This window comes from Homo sapiens, chromosome 4, assembly GCF_000001405.40.
Source record: "Homo sapiens chromosome 4, GRCh38.p14 Primary Assembly".
In the NCBI taxonomy this organism is placed as follows: domain Eukaryota; kingdom Metazoa; phylum Chordata; class Mammalia; order Primates; family Hominidae; genus Homo; species Homo sapiens.
The window spans coordinates 84,126,742-84,138,784 of record NC_000004.12 but is presented as its reverse complement, the minus strand read 5'-3'; the positions used below and the strand labels follow the sequence as shown (position 1 = coordinate 84,138,784).

At 38.6% G+C, this 12,043-nt stretch overlaps 1 long non-coding RNA gene across 1 annotated transcript in view, besides 1 other annotated feature; it reads left to right on the top strand.

Annotated features, from left to right (window-relative positions):
* The window catches only part of LINC02994 (long intergenic non-protein coding RNA 2994), a 331,088-nt gene that overhangs the window by 160,385 nt on the left and 158,660 nt on the right, over positions 1-12,043 (top strand). The gene's annotated exons all lie outside the window — the stretch shown is intronic.
* Positions 11,169-11,732: an enhancer, noted in NCBI's record as "NANOG-H3K27ac-H3K4me1 hESC enhancer chr4:85048206-85048769 (GRCh37/hg19 assembly coordinates)". NCBI's record gives its function as "activates a minimal SCP1, AML or CMV promoter by ChIP-STARR-seq in naive H9 embryonic stem cells {active_cell/tissue: H9 hESC(naive)}" and the evidence as "EXISTENCE:reporter gene assay evidence [ECO:0000049][PMID:30033119]".

Here is a 12,043-nt window from a genome sequence, read left to right as displayed (position 1 = left end):
ATTTCAAGAAGATTTTGTATTTTTGTTTTATTACACTAGATGCCGTAGGCTTCAACCAGTGTACTGAGGTGACAGTCTTTGTTGCACTTCCCTCTGCAGATTCAGACTTTCTACCAGGGAGATGGGCATGATGGATTTGGCGAGTTTGGGCAAGGACTGCTGTTTCCTTCCCTGAGCTGCCACTTGGGAAGCTTTCTCAGGATGCTCTCTGATCCCCACTGCAGACATCTGGAGGAGATTATGGAGGAAAACCATGAAAGAGGCTAAAAAGCTCCCTAGAGTTGCATCCCCCAGAGACCTCACACTCACACTAGTCTCACATTTGGCCTCAAGCAAGTTTTCCACAATTTCTCACTGAGTCATTTTTGTGGCTTATGTGTTTTCTGGTGGCCTCTGCCACAGGTAAGCAAATGTTGAGGCCCTGTTCCTCCCTGCAGGCACCTGACCAGTTCTCATGTGGGTTCAAGAAAAGGTGTTAATTAGCATTTTATCTGGATTTTTTTTTCTTATTTTAAGGGCTGAAAGAATGCTCTTTCCAGCTTTCTACATTTGTAAGGTGAAACCAGGAAAACTTGGTCAGTTGAATTTTGATGTGCTTTTCAGCTCTTAAATTCTGTGGTTATAAGTCATTGACCTCTATGTGGTTTTTTTTCTCCCCTCTCATCTCAGGTACATGTTGTGAAAATATTTATAAATGGTTTGAGATTTTCAGAGAAAGACTATAATAATGTCTTTTTAATCCTTTTATTGGATGCTTCAGGTATTTTGAGTGGTAAAACTCTCATTTATAAATAACAGTTCTAATATTCCTCACTGAAATTATTCCTCTGTAGAGTACCTGATTATAATGATTATTTACCTTCCTGTGGTAACTAGATAACCAATCAAGGACTGTTTCTTTCTCATGTTTGGTTCAGCATTCAACACAAAGCCTTGAGTATTGCAGATTCTCAATCTATATTGATTGATTATATGGATTAATGAATGAACAAAAAACTGAATACACCCCCAAATAGTTACAGCATTAAAATTAATGACAAATAGTCAAACGTACTATTTGAGAGGATTGTCACATTCCAAGTGATTGTGCCAAGCTAAAGGATATAGGAACAAAAATATCCATTCTGTACTGTATCCATTCAAAGTCAATCCAGGAGGCCCAAGTCCAGCCCAAGCACATTATAGCCAGAGGAGGAAACCACTTCTCCAGCAAAAAAATCCCATCATGTGCCTACTTATACCCTAAATGATTTAAAGACAAAGAACTTTATATTCGAAAATCAATTTAATCTCAGATGAAAGGAAATGAGACTGAGATCATATTATTTTCCTGTCATAGCAATTGATAAAGAGGTAATCTGGACAAAAAGCAGAAAACAGAGAAATGAGCCATGGCAGTGTGAAAAACAACTTTGTCAACTTTATATTTCTGGGTGGAACTTGCTACTGTCCCTGTAGGTGGGTTACTAATCTGAGCTACTGCAGGGAAGTGGCTCTGGCTTGATGGGTTATTCAGGGAGCACACAGCATTGGACTCTTTAGGATGGCTTTAATGACTGACCCTGTGCCATGCTAAGCTGGAGTGGCTCCTGCATGAGCCTCTGGGTTTTACTCAGGTATCAACTTAGCTGGTGCAGAAGCAGAGGCAGGGTGGTTTCCTTCAGTTGAATACAAGTTCTAGAGTCTTCCAAGAGTACTGGGGATGGGAGTGGCAGGACATATAATATTCATGCTAAACTAAAAGTCAGTCCATTGCTGCCACTCTGCCTACATAAATTGGCAGCTCCTACCTACCTGCTTTGAAGAACTAACATTTCTGGAGCAACAGCTGAGTTCAAAATGAGAAGTCACTGTAACCATGGTCAGTCTTTAACTGTGGGGGCAGAGTAAACATGAAGATAATTAAACACTGCTGGGGTTTTATCAAGCAAGGCTGAAGTAGTAAGGAACTATGGCTACTGTGGCTTTATGCAGAGAAATGATTTTGTTTATGGACCATCAAATCTAAGTTTGAAAAAAGAAAGTGTGAATATGAGCAGGGTTGTAGGATTAAAGGTTAGAGTTGTTAGTGCATAGAACTGTTTGAATTGAGGTACCAGAGGGGTGAACTGGAAGCAAAGGATGCAGTTGTCAGATATTAGGAAGATTAAAATTGAGGTTATACAGTGGATACAATTATTGGTAATGACAAGGTTACAATCATGAGGTAGTTGGGCTAGTGGATGTGATCATGAGAGGAGATGAAGTCAAGAAGTTGAGAAATCACAATATTGGAAAGATTACCTGTGTAAATGTTGAAATTACCAAGAATTATGATGACAGTAGTGTTTGAAAAAGAGCAGTTGCTGAAATCTGCAGGGAATGAGGTCTATATTAAGGTCTGCAAATGACTGTATCAAGGAGGGTAGAGTGTGGTATAGTCTGACACAGAATCTTCAAAAGAGCTGCGGCATACCAAAGAAGGAGAAGAAAGTAGCTTTATAAGTAATCCATTGGCATAAGGTGTGAGGGAGAGAAAACAGCCACTACTCAATAGGGATTCTGGGAAAGGGGCCTCAGGGGAAAGCAGATTTTTGGTGGAACAGAAAAGTGAAAAGAGAATATTATGAAAGAGTTTGAAGCTCTAAGAGATTTTTCCTATGGCAGACTTTAAAAAGTTTGGAGGTTTGAGAAGGAGTATAAAATTGAGTCAGATTAGGGGATGTAGAAACCTTTATGGTGTGAGAATCCAGGTGATGACCGACAATCTGAAAATTTTGTATTTCTTGCACTCTAAAGTTTGAGAGTTTCTTAGAAAGCATGTGGTCCTGAGACGTTTGGGTCCTGTCAGGCTATAAAGGAATCTGTATGAGTCTCCACATCAGTCACACTGATAGCTCTATCCAAACTAGTACAGGTGATTCCTGAGGTAGGAATTATTCTATTTCATAGAAAGAAACAATGAAACTCAAGTAAGTTAGATGATTTGACACATAATACAGTGTGGCAGGGCCTGGACTGAAGCCAGATTTGTCTAATCTCAAAATCTGTGTTCTGGAAAGTCTGTCGGCTACTTTCACTTAACTGCAAGCCTCCATTTTCCCTTTGGGTTTTCTCTTTATCAGTTTTTAAGGGATTAATGTTTTATTAGTCTACTAACAGAGTGACATTTCTGGTAGCATGCTTATACAAATAACACATGGCAACTGCAAATTTCTTTTTACTTTTCTCATTGAGTATCATCACAGCCTAATGACATTACTACTCCATGCAGTTATTCAGGCTTTCATATCACTAAACTGTATTAAAATGCTTTACCTCATTAAGCAACAAGTAGACAGACCATAGGCATAATACCCTTTTAATTCTTACTCAGGTTGGGGAAAAATGTATGTATGCTTTTGGTAAACTTACAGAAAGATTGGGAGGTGAACAGAGTAGGATATTGTATTTGAAATTCTTGAATCATGGCATGTAAACTCAGTGAGGGCAGAAGTTTTGTTTTGTTTTCCATCTATTCTCAAAGTGCCCACCACAGTGAATGAATTGGCATTTAGGTTGTTTCCATTTTACTGCTGTTACAAAAAAAATGGGATAAATGTTCCTGTCAACATCTTCTTGAGAGAATATGTAAGGGTTTCTATAAATTGAAAAACCAGAAGTAGAAATACTGGAACCACAGGCATATACACTTTATGATTTTTAGATACTACAAAACTATTTGCTAAAGAGATTGTTAAGAGTGTAAGAGTTTACACTCTTAACAATGATGTAAGACACTTCCCATTTGTTGTCATCTTAACCAGATATAAAAATTTGCCTATCTTATAGGTATGAAATATACCTATTGGATTGTTTTAATTTGTATTGATTAATAACAGGTAATTAAGGCTGAATTCTTTATGCTTATTAGCTATTTAGGTTTCCTCTTCTATTGCCTGTTCATACCATTATCAACTTTTCTATCTGTTGATTTTCTCTCTTTCTCCTTCTTTTTTTTTTTTTTTCAGTTTTGCCTTGGATGGGTTCTTTATATATTTTAGATCCAACTTTTGGTTTATTACATGCATTTTTTTTTCCTTGAATGAAGTTTTTTCCTTGAATATTTTCCTTGAATATTCCTTGAATCTCTTTAAACCTAAGAAGACTGAACAGAACTGAAGTTTTAAACATTGATATGCTCACATTTATCAGTCTCCTAAGGTTTATGCCTGTCTCTTGGTTAAAAACATATTTTTTCTATTGGCTCATTAAAAGATACTATCATTTTATGTTTTAAAGTTTTACTTTTAAAGCAGATTAAATTTATTTTTTTAATTGTGTATGAAATAAATATTTTATTTTTTTCCATAAGGATGACTTGTTTTCTCATTTTTGCTTATTGAGTAGTCTATCTTATTCTCCAGTTGCAATGCCAACTCTATTATATTTACCAAAATTCTATGTATTTATGAGCCTTCTTATAAGTGCTGTATTCAGTGTCATTAGTCTACTTTTCTGTCCTTGCTCCTTGTCACAGAGTTGTAACAATTTGCTATTAATTGTCATCAGATTTTAGATATGTGGTATGATGATCCTCCTGCTTTATCCCTTGTCATTTTTTTTCATTTCTTGGCCATATATTCTTTTATTCAAATTGTAATATTAATTTATCAACTTCCTTTAAAAATATTTGGAAGGTTTTGAAAATGTCACAGATTTATAGATTTATTTTGATATATCTGGCCTATGTGATATTGACTTTTTCATTTCAGGTATATGATGTATCTTTTTATTATTTAGGCTTTTATCTCCTTTTAACAACAATTCATATTTTTCTTCATAAAGTTCTCATACATGTTTTATTTCTTTTTCTTTTATTATTGCATTGGCTGGAATACTATTTAACAATGTTAAATAGAAGTAATGATAATTAGCATACTTCCCTTTAATTTTGGAGAGCATGCTCCTTACATTTTACTGTTGAAAGGTATTTGTGCTCTAGGCTTTTGTTAGATATCTTTCATCATATTCAGGAAATTTAATTTATTGTGAGTATAAGGTTTTTTGAAATCATTAATGGTTGTTGAATTTTAGGTAATAAATCTTCCTGCACTTATGAGACAACAAATAATAACTTTTAATGAGTTAATGTATTAAATTACTTAATAGATTTCTTAATTATAAATCATTCTTTCAGATCCAGAATGAGTCTTCTTTGGTCATAATTAATTTAAAAAAATATTTCTGGAATCATTGACTAATATGTTATTTAGGATTTTTGCTTCTGTAATAAAGCATAGCTTATAAATTTTCTTCTTTGTACTTTCCTAATCCATTTTATGTATGAAATATATATTATTATTTCTAAAATAAGTTGGAGAGCTCTTGTTCCTTTTTCTAGCCCATAAAACAATTTATATAAATAGAAGTTTTTTCCTTGGAAGGCCTGCAAAATCTGTGAAATTGTATGAGTCCTTTGCTTTTATTTGAGGGCAAGTTGTACGACTGATGTGATTTCTTTAATAGATCTAGTCAGTGTTTAATTTCTTTCTTTTTTTTTTTTTTTCACCCTGTTCTAATTTTATTTCTGTCTTTTCTTCCTGAAGAAATGACCTAACCACCCAGGCTCACCTTCACATATTCATTGCCATTCTGTGGCTCTTCTGCCTTTAGGAAGTGTGGGGCACCAGGGACTCCTGTAATGACATGAACCTGACCGAGGGCTTGTGCAGCTGCCAGTTATTACTTTGGCTATTACACTTTTCCCTGCCTTTGTTGTTTCTTTGTTTGTTTGGGGCAACAAAAACAAGACAGGCAATCAGACATGGCCCAGATTCTCAAATGTGCATTCTTGTCACAGCTGGGCCTCCATTCTAAGTCCATCTTGCATTGAGGCAACATGTTTATGCTTAGTGTAGTGCTTGGCATGTTGTAAGAGCTTATTAAATGCTTCTATCAGAAGAGTCATTTTCAAAATGTCACTTTTACTATATTACTCTCTTGATAAACTTTTTTTTTTATTATTATACTTTAAGTTCTAGGGTACATGTGCACATTGTGCAGGTTAGTTACATATGTATACATGTGCCATGCTGGTGCGCTGCACCCACTAACTCGTCATCTAGCATTAGGTATATCTCCCAATGCTATCCTTCCCCCCTCCCCCTACCCCACAACAGTCCCCAGAGCGTGATATTCCCCTTCCTGTGTCCATGTGATCTCATTGTTCAATTCCCACCTATGAGTGAGAATATGCAGTGTTTGTTTTTTTGTTCTTGCGATAGTTTACTGACAATGATGATTTCCAATTTCATCCATGTCCCTACAAAGGACATGAACTCATCATTTTTTATGGCTGCATAGTATTCTATGGTGTATATGTGCCACATTTTCTTAATCCAGTCTATCACTGTTGGACATTTGGGTTGGTTCCAAGTCTTTGCTATTGTGAATAATGCCGCAATAAACATACGTGTGCATGTGTCTTTATAGCAGCATGATTTATAGTCCTTTGGGTATATACCCAGTAATGGGATGGCTGGGTCAAATGGTATTTCTAGTTCTAGATCCCTGAGGAATCGCCACACTGACTTCCACAATGGTTGAACTAGTTTACAGTCCCACCAACAGTGTCAAAGTGTTCCTATTTCTCCACATCCTCTCCAGCACCTGTTGTTTCCTGACTTTTTAATGATTGCCATTCTAACTGGTGCGAGATGGTATCTCATTGTGGTTTTGATTTGCATTTCTCTGATGGCCAGTGATGATGAACATTTTTTCATGTGTTTTTTCGCTGCATAAATGTCTTCTTTTGAGAAGTGTCTGTTCATGTCCTTTGCCCACTTTTTGATGGGGTTGTTTGTTTTTTTCTTGTAAATTTGTTTAAGTTCCTTGTAGATTCTGGATATTAGCCCTTTGTCAGATGAGTAAGTTGCGAAAATTTTCTCCCATTTTGTAGGTTGCCTGTTCACTCTGATGGTAGTTTCTTTTGCTGTGCAGAAGCTCTTTAGTTTAATTAGATCCCATTTGTCAATTTTGTCTTTTGTTGCCATTGCTTTTGGTGTTTTAGACATGAAGTCCTTGCCCATGCCTATGTCCTGAATGGTAATGCCTAGGTTTTCTTCTAGGGTTTTTATGGTTTTAGGTCTAACGTTTAAGTCTTTAATCCATCTTGAATTGATTTTTGTATAAGGTGTAAGGAAGGGATCCAGTTTCAGCTTTCTACATATGGCTAGCCAGTTTTCCCAGCACCATTCATTAAATAGGGAATCCTTTCCCCATTGCTTGTTTTTCTCAGGTTTGTCAAAGATCAGATAGTTGTAGATATGCGGCGTTATTTCTGAGGGCTCTGTTCTGTTCCATTGATCTATATCTCTGTTTTGGTACCAGTACCGTGCTGTTTTGGTTACTGTAGCCTTGTAGTATAGTTTGAAGTCAGGTAGTGTGATGCCTCCAGCTTTGTTCTTTTGGCTTAGGATTGACTTGGTGATGCGGGCTCTTTTTTGGTTCCATATGAACTTTAAAGTAGTTTTTTCCAATTCTGTGAAGAAAGTCATTGGTAGCTTGATGGGGATGGCATTGAATCTGTAAATTACCTTGGGCAGTATGGCCATTTTCATGATATTGATTCTTCCTACCCATGAGCATGGAATGTTCTTCCATTTGTTTGTATCCTCTTTTATTTCCTTGAGCAGTGGTTTGTAGCTCTCCTTGAAGAGGTCCTTCACATCCCTTGTAAGTTGGATTCCTAGATATTTTATTCTCTTTGAAGCAATTGTGAATGGAAGTTCACTCACGATTTGGCTCTCTGTTTGTCTGTTGTTGGTGTATAAGAATGCTTGTGATTTTTGTACATTGATTTTGTATCCTGAGACTTTGCTGAAGTTGCTTATCAGCTTAAGGAGCTTTTGGGCTGAGACAATGGGGTTTTCTAGATATACAATCATGTCATCTGCAAACAGGGACAATTTGACTTCCTCTTTTCCTAATTGAATACTCTTTATTTCCTTCTCCTGCCTAATTGCCCTGGCCAGAACTTCCAACACTATGTTGAATAGGAGTGGTGAGAGAGGGCATCCCTGTCTTGTGCCAGTTTTCAAAGGGAATGCTTCCAGTTTTTGCCCATTCAGTATGATATTGGCTGTGGGTTTGTCATAGATAGCTCTTATTATTTTGAAATACGTCCCATCAATACCTAATTTATTGAGAGTTTTTAGCATGAAGGATTGTTGAATTTTGTCAAAGGCTTTTTCTGCATCTATTGAGATAATCATGTGGTTTTTGTCTTTGGCTCTGTTTATATGCTGGATTACATTTATTGATTTGCATATATTGAACCAGCCTTGCATCCCAGGGATGAAGCCCACTTGATCATGGTGGATAAGCTTTTTGATGTGCTGCTGGATTCGGTTTGCCAGTATTTTATTGAGGATTTTTGCATCAATGTTCATCAAGGATATTGGTCTAAAATTCTCTTTTTTGGTTGTGTCTCTGCCTGGCTTTGGTATCAGAATGATGCTGGCCTCATAAAAAGAGTTAGGGAGGATTCCCTCTTTTTCTGTTGATTGGAATAGTTTCAGAAGGAATGGTACCAGTTCCTCCTTGTACCTCTGGTAGAATTCGGCTGTGAATCCATCTGGTCCTGGACTCTTTTTAGTTGGTAAGCTATTGATTATTGCCACAATTTCAAGTCCTGTTATTGGTCTATTCAGAGATTCAACTTCTTCCTGGTTTAGTCTTGGGAGAGTGTATGTGTTGAGGAATTTATCCATTTCTTCTAGATTTTCTAGTTTATTTGCGTAGAGGTGTTTGTAGTATTCTCTGATGGTAGTTTGTATTTCTGTGGGATCGTTGGTGATATCCCCTTTATCATTTTTTATTGCGTCTATTTGATTCTTCTCTCTTTTTTTCTTTATTAGTCTTGCTAGCGCTCTATCTATTTTGTTGATCCTTTCAAAAAACCAGCTCCTGGATTCATTAATTTTTTGAAGGGTTTTTTGTGTCTCTATTTCCTTCAGTTCTGCTCTGATTTTAGTTATTTCTTGCCTTCTGCTAGCTTTTGAATGTGTTTGCTCTTGCCTTTCTAGTTCTTTTAATTGTGATGTTAGGGTGTCAATTTTGGATATTTCCTGCTTTCTCTTGTGGGCATTTAGTGCTATAAATTTCCCTCTACACACTGCTTTGAATGCATCCCAGAGATTCTGGTATGTTGTGTCTTTGTTCTCGTTGGTTTCAAAGAACATCTTTATTTCTGCCTTCATTTCGTTATGTACCCAGTAGTCATTCAGGAGCAGGTTGTTCAGTTTCCATGTAGTTGAGCAGTTTTGAGTGAGATTCTTAATCCTGAGTTCTAGTTTGATTGCACTGTGGTCTGAGAGATAGTTTGTTATAATCTCTGTTCTTTTACATTTGCTGAGGAGAGCTTTACTTCCAAGTATGTGGTCAATTTTGGAATAGGTGGGGTGTGGTGCTGAAAAAAATGTATATTCTGTTGATTTGGGGTGGAGAGTTCTGTAGATGTCTATTAGGTCCGCTTGGTGCAGAGCTGAGTTCAATTCCTGGGTATCCTTGTTGACTTTCTGTCTCGTTGCTCTGTCTAATGTTGACAGTGGGGTGTTAAAGTCTCCCATTATTAATGTGTGGGAGTCTAAGTCTCTTTGTACGTCATTCAGGACTTGCTTTATGAATCTTGGTACTCCTGTATTGGGTGTATATATATTTAGGATAGTTAGTTGTTCTTGTTGAATTGATCCCTTTACCGTTATGTAATGGCCTTCTTTGTCTCTTTTGATCTTTGTTGGTTTAAAGTCTGTTTTATCAGAGACTAGGATTGCAACCCCTGCCTTTTTTTGTTTTCCATTTGCTTGGTAGATGTTCCTCCATCCTTTTATTTTGAGCCTATGTGTGTCTCTGCACGTGAGATGGGTTTCCTGAATACAGTACACTGATGGGTCTTGACTCTTTATCCAATTTGCCAGTCTGTGTCTTTTAATTGGAGCATTTGTCCATTTACATTTAAAGTTAATATTGTTATGTGTGAATTTGATCCTGTCATGATGATGTTAGCTGGTTATTTTGCTCGTTAGTTGATGTAGTTTCTTCCTAGTCTCCATGGTCTTTACATTTTGGCATGATTTTGCAGCGGCTGGTACCGGTTGTTCCTTTCCATGTATAGCGCTTCCTTCAGGAGCTCTTTTAGGGCAGGCCTGGTGGTGAAAAATCTCTCAGCATTTGCTTGTCTGTAAAGTATTTTATTTCTCCTTCGCTTATGAAGCTTAGTTTGGCTGGATATGAAATTCTGGGTTGAAAATTCTTTTCTTTAAGAATGTTGAATATTGGCCCCCACTCTCTTCTGGCTTGTAGGGTTTCTGTTGAGAGATCCGCTGTTAGTCTGATGGGCTTCCCTTTGTGGGTAACCCGACCTTTCTCTCTGGCTGCCCTTAACATTTTTTCCTTCATTTCAACTTTGGTGAATCTGACAATTATATGTCTTGGAGTTGCTCTTCTCGAGGAGTATCTTTGTGGCGTTCTCTGTATTTCCTGAATCTGAACGTTGGCCTGCCTTGCTAGATTGGGGAAGTTCTCCTGGATAATATCCTGCAGAGTGTTTTCCAACTTGGTTCCATTCTCCCCGTCACTTTCAGGTACACCAATCAGACGTAGATTTGGTCTTTTCACATAGTCCCATAGTTCTTGGAAGCTTTGCTCATTTCTTTTTATTCTTTTTTCTCTAAACTTCCCTTCTCACTTCATTTCATTCATTTCATCTTCCACCGCTGATACCGTTTCTTCCAGTTGATCACATCGGCTCCTGAGGCTTCTGCATTCTTCACGTAGTTCTCGAGCCTTGGTTTTCAGCTCCATCAGCTCCTTTAAGCACTTCTCTGTATTGGTTATTCTAGTTATACATTCTTCTAAATTTTTTTCAAAGTTTTCAACTTCTTTGCCTTTGGTTTGAATGTCCTCCCGTAGCTCAGAGTAATTTGATCATCTGAAGCCTTCTTCTCTCAGCTCGTCAAAGTCATTCTCCATCCAGCTTTGTTCCGTTGCTGGTGAGGAACTGAGTTCCTTTGGAGGAGGAGAGGCGCTCTGCGTTTTAGAGTTTCCAGTTTTTCTGTTCTGTTTTTTCCCCATCTTTGTGGTTTTATCTACTTTTGGTCTTTGATGATGGTGATGTACAGATGGGTTTTTGGTGTGGATGTCCTTCTGTTTGTTAGTTTTCCTTCTAACGGACAGCACCCTCAGCTGCAGGTCTGTTGGAGTACCCTGCCGTGTGAGGTGTCAGTGTGCCCCTGCTGGGGGGTGCCTCCCAGTTAGGCTGCTCGGGGGTCAGGGGTGAGGGACCCACTTGAGGAGGCAGTCTGCCCGTTCTCAGATCTCCAGCTGCATGCTGGGAGAACCACTGCTCTCTTCAAAGCTGTCAGACAGGGACATTTAAGTCTGCAGAGGTTACTGCTGTCTTTTTGTTTGTCTGTGCCCTGCCCCCAGAGGTGGAGCCTACAGAGGCAGGCAGGCCTCCTTGAGCTGTGGTGGGCTCCACCCAGTTCCAGCTTCCAGGCTGCTTTGTTTACCTAAGCAAGCCTGGGCAATGGCAGGCGCCCCTCCCCCAGCCCTCCTGGGGCCTTGCAGTTTGATCTCAGACTGCTGTGCTAGCAATCAGCGAGACTCTGTGGGTGTAGGACCCTCCGAGCCAGGTGCGGATTATAATCTCGTGGTGTGCCATTTTTTAAGCCCGTCGGAAAAGCGCAATATGCTGGTGGGAGTGACCCGATTTTCCAGGTGCCGTCTGTCACCCCTTTCTGTGACTCGGAAAAGGAACTCCCTGACCCCTTGCGCTTCCTGAGTGAGGCAATGCCTCGCCCTGCTTCGGCTCGCGCACGGTGCGCGCACCCACTGACCTGCGCCCACTGTCTGGCACTCCCTAGTGAGATGAACCCGGTACCTCAGATGGAAATGCAGAAATCACCGTCTTCTGCGTCGCTCACGCTGGGAGCTGTAGACTGGAGCTGTTCCTATTTGGCCATCTTGGCTCCTCCCTCGTCAGTGTTTTAATTTCTTACTGAATAAATTTTTTTCATTTATA